This window comes from Homo sapiens, chromosome 2, assembly GCF_000001405.40.
Source record: "Homo sapiens chromosome 2, GRCh38.p14 Primary Assembly".
Lineage (NCBI taxonomy): Eukaryota > Metazoa > Chordata > Mammalia > Primates > Hominidae > Homo > Homo sapiens.
The window spans coordinates 59,217,225-59,241,677 of NC_000002.12; the positions used below are offsets into that span (position 1 = coordinate 59,217,225).

The 24,453-nt window shown below is 38.5% G+C and overlaps 2 long non-coding RNA genes across 7 annotated transcripts in view; one reads left to right on the plus strand and one right to left on the minus strand.

The window, feature by feature from the left end:
- The first annotated feature begins 483 nt into the window (after positions 1 to 483).
- Positions 484 to 24,453, plus strand: part of LINC01793 (long intergenic non-protein coding RNA 1793) — a 61,693-nt gene continuing 37,723 nt past the window's right edge. Inside the window, exon 1 of the long non-coding RNA NR_110219.1 lies at positions 484 to 550. This is a non-coding gene — a long non-coding RNA (long intergenic non-protein coding RNA 1793). The remainder of the gene's footprint in view (positions 551 to 24,453) is intronic.
- LOC105374754 (uncharacterized) overlaps positions 21,490 to 24,453 on the minus strand; it is a 150,795-nt gene continuing 147,831 nt past the window's right edge. For 3 of the 6 annotated variants that reach the window (XR_002959389.2, XR_940130.3, XR_940127.3), the window contains 2 exons: positions 23,697 to 23,879; positions 21,490 to 21,677 (listed from right to left, as the gene is read on the minus strand). This is a non-coding gene — a long non-coding RNA (uncharacterized LOC105374754). Of the gene's footprint in view, positions 21,678 to 23,065; positions 23,118 to 23,696; positions 23,880 to 24,453 lie in introns of all 6 variants that reach the window. The other 3 variants (XR_940129.3, XR_940128.3, XR_940131.3) reach the window with 2 other exon arrangements.

The following is a 24,453-nucleotide window of genomic DNA, read 5'->3' on the forward strand; positions in this document are numbered from 1 at the left end:
TGACATCTACCCAGCTGCCAGGACTGTGCAATGAATGAAGCATCCCCTCAAAAAACTCTGAATGGATTGCCAATTTTTATTATGTTTAAGGCAGGCAGTAATTTCAGTTTTCAATTCTACTAAGTAATAATAGTTATTAATTAGTAAATTAGGCCACTGGGTTCTAGAGGTGAGCTAACAGAATGATTAAAAAGGAGAAAATTCACAGATAATGCTCAGGTTTCATAGAAGCCTGCCATGATTGAGAGTTTATGTTTGTACATCTCTTCAGAATGGATTGCTGCACTTAAGAGCAACTTACATTGCCTACAGTGCCGTCTGTTCGGTAATTGCAGCAAAGTGAGGTACTGCACCATACATTGTCATAAAGATGTCAAGAAATGAAGGGAGATGTTCGAGGGCTCAGCTTCTAATACTTACATTTTAAATCTGGGGGCATTAAATCTAGGGAGGAGAATTCCTCAGATTTCCCAACCCCACATCAACAAAAGGCAACATTTCCTGAGTAAAGGGCTTGATATCAACCCCAGGGAGGATTTCTGGACTCCAGGTAGGTTTAATTCATTTTGGAGGCTAATTTTTTGAGCTTTATATCTCGAACACAATAGCCTTCATAGAGGTTTGTGGACTGTGATTAAAAGTACTTTTCATGGCTGTATCTGGATAATAACAAAATCCTTGAAATATCGTTTAAAACTTCTTAAAGACTTGAAATGCTAAAACTGAAGTTTATCTTGCAGGGCTCCAGATGGGCAAAAATGCAGGTAACATATCTTATGGCTGTTGGAGTGAATTTCTGATACTAAAAGAAGTAGTTGAAAAGTGTGAAAACCAGTCCAACTCATTCTGAAGATACAAAATAGTAGCAATTTGCTGGAGTTAAATGTGATTTATAAAAAACTGTATGGAGGCAAACCAGATCTATGTATGAATACAGACTCTTCCTATAATGGCCAAGTGAATTAAATCATTAAGACTGATCCCTGGCTACTCTTTTTAAGAAAAATAGCATATTCTTATTCTTCTATTAAAATTAGCTATCTGCATGAATTTTGTTGAAATAAAAAATTGATCTATTTTACTATGCTTTTATAGGAATCAGAAATAGGTATTTCTCAAGACTTTAAGACAAATTTCTCTAACCAATTGTTCTTACCTTCTGAACACCCTCTCTCTGCCTTATCATTTTTGTTCCCTCAATAGAGATTGGTGCTTGAGGGGTTTTTTTGTTCCCCCACCCTGATTGTTTTCCTTTTCCTTCTGCTTTTAAAAAATCTTCTTTGAATACTTGCCTTTACAGTTAAAAAAATACTAGAAATAGTGGTTTTTTTAGTCCCACAGAAACTGATTAAACATTTGGCTTCACTACTCACTAGCCATTTTCAGCTTGGGAAAATTGATCAACCTCTAAGTTTTTCTTTCCTCATTTGTAATGGGGGGAAATGTAATACTTACCTCACACAGTGGTTTTGAGTTTCTCTGATGCCCAGAAGACTTGTTCTTGGAGTAAAGAAAGGAAAAAAAAATTGGAGGTGGTTAGTTGGCACATAGACAAAACCTTTTTACTGGTATTAGTATTAAACTGGATCAACTAAGATGTAATCTTTCTAGAGGTAGATAGATTTAGTAGCTATGAACATGGAGATTGAGTATTTAACTGTGACAGTTGGCGCTTTGTAGGTATTCAAAATATATTATTTCCCAAATCCCTGACCCTATTCTCATCTCAGACGTACACACACACACACACACACACACACACACACACACACACACACACACACAGCCTTAAGTCTAATCTATGTCTGTAGGTGTGGGTGGCTTCAGGACCTCCTGTCTATGCTTACCTATCTCTAGTTTCTAGATAAGGCATAAATTTCCATCTTATGCCATCTGGCCCCACTCTATTGTTTTCTTTTTTATGTGAATTCATTAGAAAATCTTATTTGCCATGAAAATGAACGTTAGGCTGTCCCTCTGGGTTTTGTTGTTTGGAGCATTCATCTGATATTGAGTCTAATATATACAGAATATAAGAAACAAACTGTGAATTTCCATTGTTGGAAGACAAGATTAAACACCTACTTAGAGAGAATGTTTTAAGATATACTGGAAAGGGGCAAGGATTGGGAAAGGAAATAGGATGGACAATATTAAATGGAAACAAGATTTTTAAATAAGATTTGAAATAAGTTCATCAATGTTCATCATAAAAGGTCAATCTAATTTTGTTTTTGAACAACCGACTAACCAGCCAACCTAAAAACAACAACAAAAAAAGCGACACCAAAATAATTTGTTAAGGAGATCATGAAACAGGAGATCATGAATATTTGAACATCAATCCACTGCTCATCAATTGACAAGGAAAAACAAATGTCTATGTTTTTATCTAAGGATGTGACATGTAAATTCCTAAGAATTCACACAAGGCTGGTCCGGGTGCGGTGGCTCACGCCTGTAATCTCAGCAATTTGGGAGGCCAAGGCCGGCGGATCACGAGGTCAGGAAATTAACACCATCCTGGCTAACGTGGTGAAACCCCGTCTCTACTAAAAATACAAAAAATTAGCCGGGCGTGGTGGTGGGCACCAGTAGTCCCAGCTATTCAGGAGGCTGTGGCAGGAGAATGGCTTGAACCCGGGAGGCGGAGCTTGCAGTGAGCCGAGATTGCACCACTGTACTCCAGCCTGGGCGACAGAGCGAGACTCTGTCTCAAAAAAAAAAAAAAAAAAAAAAAAGAAGAAGAATTCACACAAGGCTGTAAAGGAAAGTTTAGCAAAGAACATGACTAGATTGGAAAAGCATTTGAAGGTTAAGATACTCTCAGGGAGTTTCTTGTTCAGTCATCACTATCACTGAACTTTTCTGCCTTTAAGGGTTTGTAATATTTAAATTTAAATTATTCCATCTTTAAAGATACTCAGTGATATTTCTTTTTTGACCACCAGCACAAGGCAGTTTTCTTTTTCCTTTCCCCTCCTATCATCACCTATATAACATAGCAGTGTGCACAGAGCACAGCCGGGAGCTTTCATTCAAGGTCATCTCATGCCCACCATGGTGAGACATTTCGATAACTTGGAATTATTTTAACTAGATATGTTTGTAGCTGTCAGACTCCAATCTACATGGTTCGTGGAGGCTCAGTTTCTTTTCTCTATTAATAGCTCATTGAGCAAACATAGTATACCAGACTAAATATATATATATATATATGTATTTTTCAATAAACTCTGTGATCCTGAATATGCAATAAAAATGTTTCTATTATCTTTGCCTGTTTGCATTTCAAAAACTGTAAAAATGCATTGATTTTTGAGACAATTTTTGGGGCTTATAGAACTTATCCTCTTGCTTAGACATGACTTTTAGAATTAACAGGTTCATCATTTGTCCCAGGGGGAGTTTTCATGTTTCTGGACAGAAAAGGGATATTATGGGTTATGAAAATAACTCTGTCAAATTACAATGCAAAATACTGGGTGAAAATCGACAATTGCAGCCAAATATCTGAAGGTGTGATCTACATGAAATTATCTATAAAACATTAAAGAATCCTGATAAGCTGTCTTCTTAAGGTTTCTTTGTATCTCATGGCTTATATCTGGTACTTGATTATATTATCAATTAAGCTATCACACCAAGTAGAATATGTACTCAACCCCTAACAGACACAGTGGGCAAAACAAAGACATTTTGAGGCATTTGCCATGTAACTAAGAAAATAAGCTTTACATAGATGAAACAATTAGAAAATTAGTTAGTGACTAATTGGTATTGGAAGGGATAAATCAAAGTGGGATGTTAATAACAGGTAATAACTTCATGAAGAAGAAAGGATTTAAAGTAAAGGGCTTGTATTTAAATAGAGATAAAAAGGGATTTGGCTACATTTCAATGTGGGCAAATAGCAAGAGAAGTATAGAAATAGAAATGGACAATGAAAGCCAGCTTAACTAAATGGGAAGTGAGAGTCGGCAAGGAGTAGGGATAATTTGGATAGTTAAGAAGAAACCAATTTCTGGAACGTATTGTAAGTCAGCTAATGAAATTTGAGACTCATACAATGGGTAATAGGAACTCTTTGCAATACCTTTCTTTCAGGAGTGATGTGGCATTATATGAAAGTGCTATTTCTGTAGTGTTGCTCTGACCTCACATGCCAGTGTGTCAAGACTCTCATCTCTGGTCCTGGGCAAATTATATGGCAAGGTACAGAAAGAATGCAGAAAATGTTTATGGAACCTTCACCATTCTTTGGAAAACTTTGTGGAAAATGAGAATGGGAATGGGAATCGTACAAGAAAATAGAAAATCAGAAAATGTTCTGGGAACCAAAAAATAGGAAATGGGAATTCTGGAAACTACATGTTGGTAATCTTCATATCAATTTCTTAGAAGTTTCAGAATTAATTTCTAAATTCCCAAGTTGTGAATAAAAAGAAAAAAAAAATCTGAGTATTGACATTTACACAGGTTCACTAAAAACAAGTGATGACAGATGAGACATTTTCATTTTTGATGGCATTCGTGTCACAGGGTGAACCCCAAAATTGGGTTTCAGCATGGAAAGCCATGTGAGTTCTTGGCTTTGTGTGGAAGGAATTCAAGAGCAAGTTTATAGAGTGAAGTGAAAGCAAGCTTATTAAGAAAGCAAAGGAATAAAAGAATAACTACTCCACAGTCAAAGCAGCCCCAAGGGCTGCTGGTTGGCTATTTTTATGGTTATTTCTTGATCACTTGCTAAACAAGGGGTAGATTATTTATGAGTTTCCCTGGAAAGGGGCTGGTAATTTCCAGAACTGAAGTTTCCTCTACCTTTCAGACCATAGAGGTTAACTTCCAGATGTTGCCATGACATTTGTAAACTGTCATGGCCATGGTGCTGTGGTAGTATCTTTTAGCATGCTGATATTATACTTAGCACATAACAAGCAGTGAGGAAGACCAGAGATCACTTTCGTTGCCATCTTGATTTTGGTGGGTTTTGACCAGCTTCTTTACCACATCATGTTTTATCAGCAGAGTCTTTTTGACCTGTACCTTGCAAAATCAATCCTGCCAAACTGCTTTCTCATTACTGTGCCACTAGGCCTTATATTTTTTGTTAATCTTGTGTTGTTGAAAATGGTCTGATATGTGGTAGGTGCTTAGTAAACAAATGTTGCGTTGCTGCTTAAATATGTAAGTCAGAGGAATAGATTTGTTTAAGTCTAGATTTGTCAAAATTTCTAGTAATATTCTGTGAGAGAAGACAAAGAAGTGTGTAGAAAATAATGCTATAGTTAGATCAACTCATTCCTTGTTGATTAGCCATAATGTTTTGGTTAATAAATTGATTCCAATTGAGAAGGTCATCTTCAACATCTTCAATGCCAACAAACAAGCTGTGTTCTTGCTTCCACCTCCCAATATTTCAATTAACTCTTTCTATGTTGCTAAAAAATGGAATGTATATCACATTTGTCTGGGTGACATCAAGTTGTGAGGCATGGTTATACATTTGTTGACAGATTCAGGATGAAAAAAATTCTAAACAGGCTGAAGTAATGACTGCCCCCCTACCACCACCAAATAGTTAAATATATAACTTGAAGTGAAGAGTATGATTGGGCTGCAAAAGCAAAGAGGGGAAGGAAAGCTTCAGGATGGGCAAAAGGATTAGCTCAGAAAGTTACCTCCCAAGTCAGGGACAAGCCTGGGAGTCATATAAGGGCTCACACAGAAAGGAAGGAAGATTTAAGATAAGACAGATGCCAATTAATTATGTAGCATCATTCTTCTTTCTGGAGACGGAGGTGGAGAACCCAAAATTGCCTCTATTAAATTGACCACTGTGAATTGTTGCCATGAGGCCCATTTTAGACCCTGTTCATTTCTTAAGTGGAGTTGTTCTCTGTTCAGAATTGATTACTATATAAATAATTGAAACTCCCGCAATGTGAGGATTAAGAGAAGGAAGCTCCAACTGTGTCCCTTCCCATTAGCTACAGGAAGGCATAAGTTAGAGGCATGAAATGATTGAATACAAATAAAGCTAGCCCTTTAACAAGCTGTGCTGTGGGGATGGGAAGCAACAGGGGTAGCAACACCTAGAACAAATATGGCACTTGGTGAACACTCAATAAATATTTGTCTAATAAATGAAATATGATTCCTATGCTGTTCAGCCCCTTCATCCATATGAACTGTGACTAATTTCCTTACTAGTTTTCCTAACAATCACTCACACCAAGATAAATCTTAATTTTTTTCAGAAAAAGTTTTCTCCTTATAAAGTTATCATAACTTTTATCTTCCCCATTGTGAAGCAATTGCCTGGACATAATTTTTCTAAAACATTTGACTATTTTCTGGACCTAACTGAAATTTCAGATCTATAACACATTCAGGAGAGATGGCCTCACCTCCTTGCTCTGATGGAAGGGGTGCTGAGGCATCCAGTCTATCCCACCAGGCTAATAATGGCGGTCATTTATTATGCCCCACTCTGTGCCAGTTACAGCACAAGGTGCTTTGTACACATTATTGATTAAATCATTAAAACAATCCTATTGGATAGGATTGGGTAGCATCCTGATTTAAAAGATAAGGAAGCAGTTTTCTAAATGCTGCACCCAAGTTCATAGAACTAGGTAAGCAACAGAGCAAGGGTTAGAAACAAATGATCTGACATTTTGATGTTCCCAAGAGAGCAGTGGATCTAAGCCAGGGTGCCTGGATTCAATCCTGGCTCTGCCACTTACCATCTGTGAATTCTGTCAACACATGTAACTCCATTGCACCTCAATTTTACCAAGAGTAAAATGTGAATGGTAATATATTTATCCACAGATTTGTCCTAGGATTAAGCTACTTGCTTCATGTAAAATACTTAGAATATTGTTTGGAACATAGTAAGCACTTAATGTATATTGAATATTTTAATTCAAATTTCTGTAGAACTAGCCTTCAGTATCTTGTAATTTAGCACTTAGTAGTTTAATAATTTTTTTGTTTTATTCTCTGTGGTACATCAGGAATTAAATGATTTCATGAAGGAATCATTTAATAAATTGTAATCTCCTTAAGGGCTGGGTCCTTGGTGCACTTTCAAAAACTAGAGGATTACATAGTGAATATTAGATATACAATTAGTACTTCCAAATAGGGCTACAAAAGTACAAATGATCTAATCCACTACCGTTTCCAAACAAAGCCTTTCTTACAGTTGTGTAGAATTTTCTAGTTTGCAAAATGATTCCCAGACTTTAAAAGAAAAATTCCTACATTGACTTCTGCAAAATACATACCTTTATCCCCCATATCATACACATGAAATCTAAGGCTAAGGCTGGTCAACAGATTAAGGAGAATTGGTGTATGCTTTTCTTATATAATAAGGAATGCAGAGAAATGTAGTAGCCGGCATGATTTCTCTGGCTTGACGAGGTTAGGTCTCACTCTGCTGTCATTTCCTTGACTTTTCTCTGATAGTCACAATATAGCCACTTCACTTCTAGTCAGGATGTTGGCATTTAAGGCAGTGGGAAGGCGATAATTTCACAGGAGCCTCCTTCTTCATTGTCCTTTAATATGAAGGAAGAAAAGCTTCTCCAGGGGCTTCCTAACTCCCAGGAAAACTTTCTTTACATGTCCAGGGCCAAAAGCACATGATATGGTAGCCCCTAGTTGCAGGAGAGCCTGGAGGGGGAAGACGCTTGGCTTTTTGAACTAAGGAAGTGGTAGCAAGAGAGAGGGGCTGCACATAGATTTTGGTGGTCTCTACATAGTGTCTGCCAAGAATCAATTATTTTTAACGCTACTAGTCCTATCACTCCTACTCCTACTTCTAGTACTAAGGATCTTGCCTTAGCAGATATAGTGTGCTCATTTGCTATACCTTAAGTTCATCAAGAAATGAGAAATGACAAGACTTTTTCTAGCAGTGATGAACATAAGTTGGTATTCGAAGGTAAAAATAAGTGTCTTCAATCCCCCTGCTGCCCTTTAACAGAAGACATTGATGACTAGTATCAGGGACCTTTAAGAATACTCCACTCCTAATTGGTATTCAGTCAGGAGACCAGAGTTGTGGCTTGTATGTTTATGAGCTACTGGTTATGTGATAATTGGAATAAGCCATGGTTTGACATATCAAGCTCAGATTACACATGGAGGATTTCTAGAAGATTTGGTTGGGCTTAGATGGGGCTTGAGCAATGCCTGAAAAGGAGAAGGATAGAAAAAAAACTTAAAACTAAGTTGGGTCATTACCAGTCACAGATCTTTTACTTTGGTTTCCTGGGAAATTAGCAGAGCCTCTGGGGTCAATCTCCCCAAATGTAAAAATGCCTTTCCAATCCCAACCCCAGAGGCAGGGCCCTAAAAATACTGAGGAGGGAAAGTAATTGAAATATTTCTGTTTCACAAATAAAACAAACTTATGTAGATGAATTGGGTAGAAATACACTGGCATTTGGTCAAAGGATGAGCATCAGATAACTTTTGTCTTATGCATCTGTCATTCCCTCTCACATTGTGCACTAAAATGACACAGCCTAGAGCAGTGGTTGTCAAACATTTTTGTCCTTCCCCATATTTCCAGGAAGATGATTATATAGATAAGGTCACTTTGGGAAGCAAAGAGAATCCAGGACACAAGAAAAGTCTGGAGGCTGGGGAAGGGTGGGTGAGACAGATCTGTGTTAACTGGCTTTGTGTCCAAGCTATCATGTGCTGGCAGCAGAGGCCATTTTGAATTCAATATTCCCCAAGAATCCTGCAGCCACTCTGCTATTTGTTCCCTAAGTCATCAGCAGTTTTGCAAGCCAAGGTTGCGTATTGGAATTGGGCAGATAAGGAGAACTTGTCTATTAATTGAGTGTTTGGGAATGGGAAAAAATGGAGTGAACACACAAAGGCTCTTTGCTGTTTGGAAAGTTGGAAGGTCAAGGGTGGTATGTTTGCTTCAATTATGGTGCCAGTAGACCCAGCTAAACTAGATCTACTGCACTTTGTCTTTAGTATACATATGAACGTATTTGCAAATAATTGACACTTGGGAAAATGATATTTGGCCAAGCACATTTTCCATTAACATAAAACAAGAGTGACAGGGAAGGAAGGAAGGAACAAGGAAGGAAGGAACAAGGAAGGAAGGAAGAAAGAGAGGGAGGAAGGGAGGGAGGGAGGGAAGGAGGAAGGAAGGAAGGGAATGAAGGAAGGAGGGGTGGAAGGGAGGGAGGGAGGGAGGGAAGGAGGAAGGAAGGAAGGGAAGGAAGGAAGGAGGGAAAGAAGGAAGGAGGGAAGGAAGGAAGGAGGGAAGGAAGGAAGGAGGGAAGGAAGGAAGGAGGGAAGGAAGGAAGGAAGGAAGGAAAGAGCTTATTCAGGGCAAGGGGGAGGGAAATTTAATCTGATCCACTGCTTTATTTATACTTAACTCGACAAAATGATCAAAGTGGGTTAGTGTTTGGCTCTTTACTGTCTAAAATGTAGTGAGCATCCTTGGACATTCCTTTTCCCAGACAATAGGCCAGCTGTGACATGACAATGTTTCAGGATATTGGTTCCAAAGCTAAGATGCACAAAATTTGGCTAAAGGCAAAACCTATTCTCCTCTGCTCATTATCAAACACTTAAACCGCATGCAGTTAGCCCTTTAGCTGCCTTCTAATACCTTGCATTGCCATCTTGTAAATGCTGCTGCTTTGCTGAAACACCTACAGAGTTTCTTGGTTTATAAACACTATTTGATCACACACCAGGAGTAAGGTAGACTCATTTGCCTCTTGGCCAAACAGTTTAAGACTTAACTGAGCTGCTGTCCGAGCCCTGGATGGCCCCTTCTCTTAGCATGGCAGTCCTGTCAGTGGGGTGCTTTCTTGCCCTTGGCTTTAGAAGGGGAAAACTAGCAGCTTGAAGCAAAAGGAAGTCTATCACACAGCTGTACAGTCTATTACAAGTAGACTACTCACTAGCTTAACTAGTCTTTCTTTTTACCTCACTGATGCTACCCCTTAAGTATTCTTTCTCCTTGACAATATTCATCCCACAACATTGTCTCCAGACCCCTATACATTCTTAAAAATGACTGAGGACCTCAAAGAGCATTTGCATGTGTGAGCTACACACAACACAGTAAAACAGAGAAATTTAGACACTTATTATTGTAAAATAAGACCAGAAAGTATACAAACTTCTTGTTGTGTTTCAAAAAAAGAAAAAGAAGAAGGTAAGAGAGGGCGGTATTTCCAAAGAAAATTAATTTTTGGATTTCAAATTACCGGTACATTGGATTAAAAACAAGGTTTATAGCTAATAGAAACAAAGGTAAATGTCAAAAGCTTGATATAAATAAGAAAAAACTGAGTTAATTTCTGAAGACTCACATTTTTTTCCCAAAAACTACTACCTTAGAAAATTTTGGAATATGTCAGTACACATTCCATTAGTCATCAGAATGATACCATCACTATCACTCTTCATGTAAAATTCCTGAGTAACGTACACTTAATGAAAGAAAGAGTGAAAAGGCAAAAAAACAGTAAAAGAAAAATTATAGTTTTATTGTAAAAACAATTTTAACTTTGTGGATCCTCTAAATAGGTCTTGGTAATCTCCTAAATTGACCACATGTTGAGCATTGCTGGGCTAGAGTATCAATGCACTGAGTTGAGTCTAAGATCCACTATTAACTAGTTGAAGGGCTTTGAACAAATTAATTGCCCAATTTCATCACCTGTAAAACCAGATAATAAATATCAGAATGTGAATGTTTAATTTGTTTTACTTTGGAAAACTAAGTGGAATTGCTCCCTGACCTGCTCCCTGACACGCCCTGACCTGCCCCCAACCCTTCATTTGTTGCATTAAAAGAATTCAGAAGTTGGGGAGTAAATGGCCACTTCTCCACTTCACCCAAACCACTTCAAAATGACTTTTGAGGAGTAATTGGCACCACTCTCAAGTAAAGGTGGGCCAGTTTTCCTCCTGTTAATAATTGGGACTATGGGACAAATGATTTTAAAAGGTTTAGAAAGAAAGGAGAAAAAGAAACAAAAGTTTCTTGTCTGCAGGAGTAACGGTGATACAATGGTAACACTCTGAGAAAGGAATGGTTATAAAGTATCAGGGCTTAGAAAAGCAGTTAGGGACCCTGCTTTGTTTGTTCCAGGCAAGTGGTCTTTTTCATTGTTCGCAATTTACGTTAATATACATTAGCATATAGATCTCGAAATGCATGAGTATATATGTGTGCATATGTATAAGATTAGCCTGGAATATCTTATGTGAAAAAGAAAGAAAGTGTTCAAAGAATGAAGAAAACATGTTAAAAGGACACAAGCTCTAGTTTGAAGGGGACTTCCATGGGCCAACTCCAGGATAATTTGAACATAAAATAAATAAAGGCAGTGAGAGATTATAACTTATTGGATAAAGTAAGAATTCCTGAGTTCCCAGTGATACAGATGTATAAAAAGGAAGAGAAAGCTTTCCCCTGTAGTAGAAAGCCAATTAAAAACTGTTGAAGGAATAATGAAATTAGGAATCACCATTCGTAAATGTTAATTTCCCAGTTATACAAAGTTATGTTTTATGAAAATGCACTAGAAAATATTTTGGGGTGAGGATACAGATTGAGAAAGAGAGGAAAGAATAAATTTGTCTGAAAGGTATGGGTGTCTGGAGATTTTTTTGCATTATTCTTGCAACTTTTCTGTAAGTCTTGAAATTAAGTCAAATAAAAAACCCTGAAAACATTAAATTAATAAAATAAAGTACTTCCTCATAAACTGTACGACACACATGTATGGATTTGTTGATTTCACCTGATGCCCTAGGGACTGGTGATTAATATCTAAATGCCAAAATCAAGTGCTGAGTTTACATTTGGAAGATTCAAATTAGAAACTCATATACAGAGATGGCTGCATACCACTAATTAGTACAATGGATATTTAATATTAAAACATTTTAATCATAACTAACATAAGTAGTGTTTAGGATGTGTAGATTGGCTAGAAATGCTCTACAGCACATTAACCTTATCATGAACAGGGTGTAAGAATCTAGTCAGCCCTAAGTAACCCACTGTAACAGGACCTCAAGCTGAGGATTCCAAACAACAGCCTCTCATTGTCTCCAATTAGAAATCTAATTGAATCCTGCCAATATATAAGACATCTACATGTCTCATCTACATTCTTGACCCTTTCAGTAACAACTTAAAAGATGCCATAATTCTTGAGCTTATAGCATACATTGAATGATTGTTCTTGGGCCTACTTACTGGAAGATATTTATTTGGTTGGCGGTCCACTTTTACTGTAACACACCATCTGTATCATACCACCCAAGAGGAAGGAGACTGTTAGTTTTCTAGGGCTGCCATAAAAAAATACCACAAATTTGGTGGCTTAAACAACAGAATGTATTCTTTTTCTAACATTTCTGGAGCCTTAAAAGTTCGAAATAAAGGCGTTGGTAGGTTTGGTTTCTTCTGAGGCCTCTTTCATTGGCTTGCAGATATCCACTTTCTCTCATCTTTACATGGCCTTTCTATGTGCATGAGTACCCTTAATGTCTCTTCCTCTTCTAACAAGAATATCAGTCATATGGGAGAAGGACTTCACCCTGTAAGGGCTCATTTTAACTTAATCACTCCTTAAAGACCTTATCTCCAAACATGGTTCCATTCTGAGGCACTGGGACTGGGACTTCAAAATATGATTTTGGGGGGACACAATTCATCTCCTAACAAAGGCCTACAACCTACATTTTCCTTTAACTGTTGAAAGTGCTATATATCCTCAGCTAAGATAATGGTTACTGCAAACTTTCATTACAAACACCAACTTCATGGAATTTCTGTGATGATTAATATCCCTGGCACATAGCTGATGCATCATTAATACTACATACATGCTGATACTATCTAGGAAGGCTATTTAACCCTCATTTTGTATGGCCAAAGCTCAGCAGATCATCCTGTCATCGCCCTAAAATTGAATTACTGTTTATAGCATTGATAGTAAAATTTAGTTTAACAACAGGTATAGTAAATATTAATGCCAACGTTTGGAATAGTCAAAGGTTTTTCAATGTCAAGTTCTTGAGATCTCAAAATGAGCATGTTTCCTATTTGTATTTAAAGATATGTAATTATTCCAGGAATATTGAGTGTCCCAGAAGAAAGCAATAAGAAACTCTAAAGGCCAGATATTTAATAAAGACTTTTTAATTATGCCCAATAATTTTACTTTTGAGAAAAAAATTTAAAATAATACTTTTGTAATTTCCCTCTGAATCAGAATCCAACTGGCATAATATCTGCTGAGATATGTATGTACAACACCCATACACAGCCACATATTCATAGATTCTGATATAAAATGTTCAATTGCTCATAAAATATACATCAAACATATGAGAGGCTCCTTTCACAGCTCTCAAAGGGAACAGGTAGATTCCTGAACCTAACATGTTCTATGTTCATTATAACTTTTAATTCCTGGTTGAGAAGAACATGGCTTCCAACTTTCAGTGATGGATGAGTTTAATCCCAACTTCAAGATGCTTATAATTTTTGTTGTTGTTGTTTTGTTTTGATTTTTGGAAAAAGTGACTAGTTAGATTGGGACTGCATTGTATGAACCCTCATCCTCACCCGCATCCTTGGCTTTAGGGCTGTCTTGCCTCCCAGACCTGTCTTGCCTCACATTTAAGGCTGTTTTGCCTCCCAAGACCTCATGATTGATGGTGCTGCTTTCTATCTGGGGAACCAGTCAAACCCATTTCTGTTCATCAGCACAGCTGTCTTTACTTCTCAGTTATATGGCACTCACTCTACAAGCTTTGGATATTTAGGCATAGTCACTGAGGCCTGTGGTATACATGGAGATGAGCTGCCCAGATTATCCTTCAAGGAAGAACTTGCTGTCCAGCATTGGGGAGTGCAGTGAGCAGACTGCCTCCAGCTATGAGCACCTTCAGGTCCTGTTCAGGTGGCAAGCCCACCTTGTTGGACATCCTGCTTCTCTGGTGGCAGCTCACATCCAGTGACTGAGGGAGGCCAGGGCATCAAGGCCCAAGTAGGTTGGTCTAGGACTTATTGAGCCTGCATAGCAGTTAGGCTTCTGTCTCTGTCCATTCCTGCATCTTCTCCCTTCTGTTCACAGGCATTCACTCCTGATAAACACCTTGCACCCAAACTTCAGTTAGGATCTACCTCTGGAGAACCTAACCTTTGTCAGCCTCTCTATCTGATCTTTCATGTTACTTGTCTTTCCCTCCCAGATTCCCTGGAGCAGTGGAGATGAGATGTCTGGTAATAGCCATCAAGTTAATATCTTAGAATTAATGTCATAGAATTTGTAAAATGTACAAAGATTTTCATGTGTAACTTTTCTCTTCATATTTATTCCATCAACAAACACAGTGGGGTAAGACACACTTCCTGTTAGGAGAAGGTAAGCACTCAAGAGGGGCCACTGGCATCTGACTTGGGGCATTGGAGCCATTTCATAGACTCTGAGGGTGGAGATGCCAGAGGGCAGGATCTAAGCCAGAGCCCATTCCGTTTCTGAACCATGGTCAAGAAAGAACAGAATACTGAGAAGATTGCAAGGACAAATGGGAGGGAGGTTGAGGAAAAATGTACAGACCTTTTTTTCCTTCCGCTTTCCCTGGAGGAAAGAAACAGTGAGATTCTAGCAACAGAGATTTGTTTAGGATGACAAAATGGCCTCTGAATTAAAGCTCTACTGCATTGATATAAAGAAAGGACATATTGTCTTTCCATGAATATTCTCTCATACACCGGGCACTCACTGCCAGACACTTGTCTGATTTTGAGGCATTGTCACCATTCACTATTGCCACATGTGTTAATCTCCACTCATGTGGACTGAATATGTGTTTTAAGAGGTCAGGACCATCTGACACATATGAGGAAGTGGCATGAGTTGTACATGAGGTTTAAATTCCTGTGAAGGAATGGTTTTGCCCTTGATCTGTTCCGAACTATTTTTAACATTAATGTCCTATTTAAAAAGGCATCATCTGCCTCCAAAGTAGCTCGGTGGGGCGGCATAGAGCCCCTGGGCAGGCTACGAGGCCCAGAGTGAAGGAGCTGATTGCTATTTATCACACATTACTGCTGGCTCCCAAGGATCAAAACTTTAAGCGCAACTTGGTGGGGAAGAAAGGTTTCCATCTATTCCCTGGTATTGCAACTCTATGATTAATATGACCTAAGCTACCTAATTCTTGGAAAGATGCTAATATAATAATACTTCTTTTTAAAGGTCAAAACTCTGTATTTCTTTCATTAGCTCCATCACGTGTGTCTCCAAGTTGAACACACCTCTGTGGTGTCTCTTCAAACCAGCACAACCATGTTTTGTGGCAGGCTCAAAATACTCTTTTTGTTTCGAAAGAGGCGACATACTGAAAGACACATTTCCAGCCAAATTTACAGACTGCTTCTATCCCACCTTTCTTCCATGCTGCTAAAAAATATAGGATGAGTGCAGCCAGACAGATGCTATAACTACTGTAGGCAAGAAATATAGATTCTAGGTGGGAAGCTACAGACACCGAGATAGAACCATGAAAATGTAACGTGAATGGTTGAGCTTTAACTCAGCAGAAATACTTGTTCTATTTAGTGTTTGTTATTCTCAAATGGTAAATCTTAGAGAAAACAGTTCTAGAGGAAGTGAAACCAGAGGTTTATTATGAAAATGAGCACAGAACTGAAGACGTGTTACGAGTCCCATATAATTGCCTGACGGGGGCATAGCTAATCCAGCACAGCATCAGGCTGAGGCTAGAAGCTGGATTCAGCACAATTTGATCTGTTTTCTTCCCCAAAATATTCTCGTAGTGTTTTGTTTGGGGTGCTTCCATATCACTCTAACATGAATAGTGCCCAGGAATTCTGTTGTTTTATTTAGAGTAGGAACTTTTCTGAGAGAGAGAAAAAAAAATAAATCTGTTTAGTAATAGAACATGTTTTTTTTCCTCTATGCTGTTAGACTAAACTAAGTACACTTTTTCTCCAAAAAGTAGCAAGATAGCCCAGCCTACTTCAGAGTAGGACTGCTATTCATTCATTTATGTATTCATTCATTCATGGATAAAGCATTTATTGAGCTTATATCACAGGGGCTGAGATTATAAAATGAGTAAACTGCAGTTGAATTCCTCAAGGTGCTCCATTGCCTTTGTAGAGTCAAAATCTCCAGTGGTTAATTCCCCAGTTATTTACCCTCTTGTGTCCATGACTTTTCCATGTGACTGTGCAGTAGCTTGCCACTCTGAGCCCAGCCATGTGACATGCATGGCCAATAGGATAACCACAAATATGGAGCAAACAGAGGCTTGAGAAAGGTTGAATGATGGAACTTACTCATTCTTGCTGTCTGCCATCAGCAGGAGAACATGTCTGGGCCACTCTGCTGGAGGATGAGAGACATGGAACTGAGCCATGCTGCCCCAGACATCTATGCTGATGTAGATCCTAGATCAGTCAATAGCCAATCTTCCCCCAGGCATATGAGGAAATCCAGGCAACATCAGCAGAACTACCCAGCTGATTTATAGATTTCTGCAAATCCATGAGTGAATACAGTAAGATCAGCCATGCCCAGTCCAGGCCTTACAGATAATGAGCTAAAGTAATATCATTATATACCACCAAGGTCTGTGGTTGTTATGCGGCTCTGTGCAACTAGGGCTAACTAATGGATCACCCCAAGGGCTCAGTCTAGGACTCTTCTTGCTGTAGAGGCCTCAGCTGACCTTCACATGGGATTCTGAGTAGATCTAAAGCTCTTTACAAATCCTGATATTTTTGCCTTTGAAGCCATCCTGGATTTAAAAGCATCTGACTCACATGTGTTACATATACCATATGCTGCCAAATACACTAAGGGTGTTTTCTCTGGCCAGTATGGTTGTCAGTGAACACTGGCATCTCTTTGTTAGTGGATTTTCAATTAAGCCTTAGCATACAGGACTCTCTTTCCTAACTACAGGCATTGGAGGCCTCCCCCGACCTGTCTACCTCTATCCAGGTCTGGTTCCCGGCCTCAGGCAGCGCTTATCCAAGGGTTTTCTAGAGATCCCCCAGCTTTCATGATGTACAGCAATCTTTTCAGGCTGTCTAGATGACTGAAATAAAGTGCATTTGATTAGCTATGAGCTATTAGTGGTCAAATCACTTCACCTCTCTGAGCTTCAGTTGTTTTATTTATAAAGAGGATGATAATGCTTAACTCAGAGGTGAGAAATAAAGAGATAAGTATATGGAGCGTATACTGCAGTGCTTAGCAAATAGTAAACATCCAAAAGATGACAGCCATGTTAATTCTCTCCACTCTGCCTAATCTTTAGTAATATTGTTCCCATGATGTGCTGGGAGAGGACCCTCGACAAATTATAAGGACCATGGAATTAAAATACATAGAAATGGCCTGCTGGAAAACAGCATAAGAGCAAAGTAAGCAAAATTCCCAGCCCCAGAACCCCTCAAAAGACTTCATCACCATGTTAGAAAGAGGCTTCATTGTGTGCTAAAATGCTGCAAGAAGGGTGTTGGAGGCAGAAGACTTTCAGCATCTGTTCTTCGGAAAATGCCTTACTTAAAAAAAAAATAGATCTGTATCTCTATGTATCCTGAAGCTGTGAGAATACAGCTTCAGATTCTCTCCTTCACCCCAGACATACGTACTCAAAAGTGTGGAAAAGGTTATAAGTATTACAAAGGCATCTGTTTAAGAAGTTATGAGGGGCGTGTAATCTGGGAAGGTGACTTGGTCAGGACTGAGGTCAAAATTATGATGTGCAGGTAGAGAAGTTCTAGCAGGAACCCAAATCAGTTTTTGATCCTAACAGGTCTTTGGGATTTGTGGGTGAAGGTTAACATTTGGCTAACAGTGCTGGGCCATAAAGTTATATTTGAAATGTTGTACAAAGGAAAATAGCACACAAATCTAAAATCCAAAGCTTATAGTTACTTTGGAAACTGGTGTCTTATAATTTCTTACTGTGAAACAAAAATGGAATTAATGAGTTAATTTTAGTTTTGTTCTTGTTTGTTTGGTAGAGGTAATCAATGAGTGAAAGTTATTCCAGAATTGGTTCATATTATTTAAATGAAGATAGAAATGACCTGGACTCTTGGTGTCTGTCAGTGTTCTTATCAAATTGCATGGGGACAGTTACCTTAAGGAATTAAATAGCCACTAAGACATGGCATAAAACATGAACACACAAGTTCATTTCTATAACAGTAATACATTTGGACACTGCATTATTACCTAGGGCTGCCATAACAAATTGCTGTAAGCTGAGTAGTCAAAACAGAAATTTTATCCTGTCACAGTCCTAGAGGCTAGAAGTCCAAAAGCAAGGGGTCAGCAGGGCTGCACTCCATCCAAAGACTCTAGGGTAGAAACTCCCTTGCCTCTTCCTAGCTTCTGTGGTTGCTGAGAATCCCTGGCATCCCTTGTCTGATAGCTACGTCACTCGAATTTCTGCCTCCATCCCCAGATGACCCTCTTCCCTTGTGTGTGTCTCTGGTTCTGTTTGTCCTCTTCTCTTCTTGTAAGGACACCAGCTCATAATAAATTTAGGGCCACCCTAATCCAGTATGACCTTATTTAAACTAATTATATCTATAAAACCCCTATTTCTAAATAAGGTAACATTCTGAGGTTCCATTGGACATGAATTTTTGGGGAACACCATTCAAACTAGTATAGACACCCAAATGGAGATAATGAACAACAGGCTTTCTATCCTGCTTCAAAACAGCCAGGAAATCAGTCAATATTTCTTAAGTGCAGTGCATTGTTTGTCACATTATTTGTTATGTGGGAGAGCTGAGGGTGGTGGATATGAAACGCCTCTGGGTTTTTTTGTTTGTTTGTTTTCTTTTCTCTCTCTCTATCTCTCAATCTCTCCCCTCCCCCCACTGTCTGTTTTGTAAACTATATTGACATCATTCAACTTTCAAGTTGGTGGAAGAGAAACAAAAACAAAAACATATACTTAGCAGAAGATATAGGCATTTGCTATTTATTATGTCTCAAAATAACAGCCAAAGCAAAGCAAAGTTTTAATGGAGAGCACATGTAACAGATGCTTTTTTCATTTCTTCAATTCATCATATTGTGATATTTGTTTTATTAGCAAGGAATGTGTTGGGTGATGAAGAGACTGGAGAGAGAGAGAGAGAGGAAAAGACTGGGCTAAACCGAGTTGACTTTAGATGAAAAAATTTTTAAACCCATATATGCATACACAGTTTATGAGGTTGAGTTACTTAATAGAAAGTAACATATGCCAAATATGTCTGCTTCCTTCCCATTGCTGGTATAGAAAGCAGGAGTTCTGAGTGATTGATTGTAAGCTCTACCACTGAATGTCAATAATTTATCAACCTTTCTGTGTCTGTAAAATGGGGATAATTACACTTGTTCTATCTTTCAAATTCATTGTGAAGATTAAATGTGATCATGGAAATAAAATGAATTTGAATTCTAAAGTAAAAACATATTCTCGTGATTGCCATATACTGTTGGTGCACTTGAATACTGAATGGGTATTCTTGGCAAAGTCTAGGATTTATTGTCTTGTCCAGTTATGTAACAAGAGCGGCCACCATTTATTGAGCAACTGCTATAAAGTGCTGTGTGAGTCACTTTATAAAAACAATTCCTACTGCTCACAATGACTCTGCAAAATAGACTTTGTTGTCCCCATTTTGAACAGAAGTAACTGCAACAAGGTCTAAGTGAGCTCTGCCTGGTCAACTCGTTTTAGCTTCCGAGTAGCACAACTTGCACGTGGCAAGGCCAGGAATTTCTGCCAAAGTCAAGTTGGTTTTTCTTTCTCTCCCCTCCACCAAGATACCCCTGGGATTTCTCTCTCTCTGTCACACACACACACACACACACACACGCACACACACTCACATTCATCTGCATCTTTCTCCCTCTCCCCCATACCAAGCACGTTGAGCAAATTAGTTATTTATTTATTTTTTTAATAAATCAATCTCAACCATTATTAGATGGCACTTGGGCATAATCAAAAAGAATTGTTTGAGAGAATTTTTTGATTTTCATCTGGTTATTAGCAGGCTCTGAGTTTCTGTGGTTCAGTGCAGATGGAATCAAAATGAAACAAGAGTGTTCCACATGCAGTTTTGCAAGTCTAAGTACAACCATTTCCCCTACTTAATCCTCGGCTTAGTGCTGGTGTTCAGTGACGGCAAAAGAGGTTTCCCACTTGCTTCTCTGTTCCAGTTTAGCTAGACCCAGACCACTCAGGAAAACCTGGGGTCCTGCCAATTTCATCTGCCTCTCCTCTGTTGAGAATGGAGTGTGTTAATCTTCTAGTTTACAGAAGATAGAATTCAGGAAGATAGCATTGATTTCTAATTACTTTTTATCCTGTCCTTTAACATTTTCTGTTTGATAATGCTTTGTAATATATCTAATCTAGTAGTACAATTGCAGAAATATTGGAGATGTGTGCTCGAAAATATTTTACTGATGGACAATATGATTTAAAACAATTTTAAAACCACTGAACCGGAGCAGTAGAGGCATTTCGCTCCATCCTTGGCTTGGACTGGTGTTTTTAGAATCCTTGGCATGACCTATTTTGTTTGTAAACTCTATGAGATAGTTCTTTGGGTTAAAGAAGGCCAGAATGGCAATGACACTTCATTTTTTTTTCCTTCCTGATCACGTAGCCGGTTTTGCCTATGAAAATGAGTTAATGTACTAAATGCCCCATTGCCCATTCTTCATGGTTTACCCTGGTCATAACTGTGCAAGTGGGCTGTATCTCAATGATGGAGGAATTGACAACAATCAAAAAGCAGCTCAGCCTCAACTCTCCTTTCTGATATAGCAACCAAAATCATGGCACAGAATCACAGAAGCTCAGGGCAGGTAATAACCAGATAATGTTGAAAATTTCACTTAAGCTATTATTTTTTATTAAATCTATGTAATAATATCTAATAATAATTGAGATGAACTTATTTAAACCAAATGACTAATGTTTAATGCTCACTTTTCTAGTTAGTGACCGTTGTGACTCCTCATGTGACCCTAAGTCACCTTGGCTTCACCTTAATTTCCTAAACAGGCATGCAAATTCTGTTCATTATGCACAAAGCTCTTTTTTGCAATGGTGAGCATTGTCTCACCACCTCTTGACTTTTGTTAATCTGACAGCCACACAGTCCTTTCTTGGGGAATATTGCAAAGTGTCTTCAATTCAATTGCATTTCTGTGGTCGTGGGGTTTTATATAATTACAGAAGTTCTGTAGTTGATTTGAATGTTATATCCCTGTTGTGGAATTACGTTTGGACTTTATCCTAAAGGACAGGGAAGGGATTGTGTTTGTTTTGTTTGAACATTTCTTGTCACAGGACTATGTTGGAGACAAACCCCAATGACACAAACATTCAAACACCACCTTCAGATGTAATATTGATTTATAAAACAACAGTGCACAGCTGCCAAGCTTCGCTCTTGAATACAGAGGGTCTTCAATTCCCAACAAATTACTGGCATTTCTACCAATTTACAAATTAGAGTTTCCTCAGAATATCTCACAGTTCTTAATATTCCAGTCACCTTCCTTTTCAGCCTTCTCTCTTGAAATCTGTGTGTGGGGAGGAGGGAGGAGGGAGAAAGTAGAGCATTTGTAAAATTGGAGTTAAAAAAATCTAGATCAACTTTTATCCTTAGGCAAATTATGCACAGAGTTAAATTAAACCACTATATGTACTTGTAGATTGAAGAATCAGAGGTGGAGGAGGGGTCAGAGACACCGAGATCAAAGTTTCTGTTCTTTGAACAAAATCCCTTTGAAAAGCCCCCCATGCCACCTATCCTGCTTGTTAATGTTTTGACTGGGAGTGTCTAGCCGTGTCATCGGCAGCAGAATATTTTTAGTACCATATTTTATTTTATTTTCTGTGTGCAGCTAGCTCTACTTAGCAAAGCACCAGATCCTTTGCCAGCTCTGTTCTATGTCTCTTAGGGGAATATTTTTGTTAATTGCAAATATTTGATTGACAAACATAGGATGCAATTAGTAGTCAGGCACAGTAGGAATGTGCAGTGAACTGGATCCCTGAACCAACGGATCTCAACTCAACTCTCTCAGCTTGATCTGAAATCGACTAGAGCATTTCAACCATATGTTTGCCTCAAACTTTCTCTTTCCTATGAATGTTGCTTATTTCCCCAAACTAGCTTCTTTTCACCTTGGCTCACTGAGGGAGCTAATTCCTCTATGATCAAGCCAAATGAAGAAAGAAAATTCTTCACAAGTTTCAGTCTGGTGGGGCTATTTGACCATGGCTGTAAAAATTAATGTGGACAAAATTACACATGCCAGTTGTTTCTCTCCAAAGCCCTAGGTGGAAAAAAGAATCTAATCTCTTCTGAATTCAGACATTTTATTTTTCATAGCTATTTAAAACAACCTGGCAACATCTGATTATCTTTATCAATTACATTTTGCTTCTTTATGCATATAGCAAGATGAGCTGTTTGTTCTGTCTTACTGCAGTATGTGAAATAAATTTCTGTTTTCAAAATATACCATTTATTTTAAAGGTATTCTGTTTGCCACAAATCAATGGGAGGAACTGGAATCTGATGCTATCAGATATTCTGAACTTCCTTCCCCCTTGAGAAATTAATTAAAACTCACAAAATTTGAGGGGAAAGAGCAAACTTCAAAGCCTTAAGTACCAGCTTTAAAAAGTCTTAAGAAAATGTACGCTGTTTACCCACATACATGATGTAAAAAACAAAGTTGAAAACAAAAAAAATAATGTAGTCAAATTGGGGTTGTGGCTCTAAAACAGCAGTTCTCAATTTTTTTAACTCGTTGATGCAGTTCTCATGTTATTTTAGGGGGATGAGATATACAATATGAGTTGCTCTCTCTGAAGGATAAGCAAAGAGTTATCAACATTGTGGGTAAAGAGATAAGACATCTCTCAAAGCTGGAGGAGAGCATACTGTATGCTTACGAACATTCTGCAAGTTCATGGCAAATGATGTGGGGCCTTCAACGAAGATGGGGAACCTGAAACCCAGGGAGATTTTAAATTAGTTCAAGGACACACTGGAAGTGCTCGGTGATATGGAAATATAGGGCAGGAATCCTGACATGCAGCCCATGAAACCAGAATGCTTGTCAAGTCTGTCAATTATAATGTGCCACATTCCAAATAAAGCTTTAAAAATGGGTGTCGCAAGGCTGCAAGGCACTGCTGTGGTTCATCTTGACCATCCTCCTGCCTCTAGAAAAGCTGTGATTAATTTTTTAAAACTAGCAGTCTGCTTCAAACATACAAATAAAAGGTGTTCTTCATGTTTAGAATTTAAATAAAACCATAGTAGAGCAAACTAGGAATTTGGAAAAATAAGAAAACAATCTCGTGTTCTCTTGTTTTTCTCTCTCTCTCTCTTTATTTCTTCCTTCTTGGAATGATGATCCTAAGCTCAGTGACCATGAAACTATTGGGATGGATCTGGTTTACTGCGTAGAGCACTGACACAGCAGCTCCTTGGGTGTCTGTGTGCCCTGTGGCTTTTGCCATTAGTCAAGGCATTGTCTAAGCTGATCACATCAGCTAAGGTCCCCTAACTCACGTAAGCTCACCATATGCCTGGATGCCATAGATCCTTGGAAATAGACAAGTTTAGAGGTGGAAGGATCAGGAAGAAAATGTACCCATTCAACAGATGAGACATCAGAGGCTCAGCAAGTGGTGACTGTTTTGAATAACTTGAAGTAATACCAAAGCCAGCTTCTGAATGGTGTAATGGTTTGAGCTCTGCAAGCCTGGAAGAGTATGAGGCATGGGGGAGAAATCAATGAGAAGAATAAATTGAAGCAGCTACACAGATAGATTTGACTGATCTAGTGACAGCTTTCTGAGATGAACATTTTGTATGTGGGGAGGCGGGGCTTGTGAGGGAAGGACGGTGTATATTTTTTCGAGTAGAATAGGATAACACCTCAGATGATGAGTCCATAACCTCAAATTTTATGATAGGAAATCAGATAATGCACTGGATACTGTTGTTGGATTTCTAAGGTATATATTTCCCTAAATGCTGCCTTCAGAGAAAACTAGTGGCCCTCAGGGAATCAGGTCTCTTCTCAGAATTTCCTCGTTTGTCTCAGTTTGCAGTTCGTTCGCTAATGCTGTGGCCTGTAAGTGAGCTCACATCTGAGATTGTAAAGGCTTGTGTAAGGGGATTCTTCTCTTTTTTTTATAACTCTTAGTAGGGACTCTCTGCCACTCTACCAGAGACTGGCAAATGTAAGTGTGCACCAGAAGCACCTTCAAGGCCTATTAAAATGCAGATTGCTGGGCTCCACCCTCAGAGATTCTGATTTAACATTTTTGAGG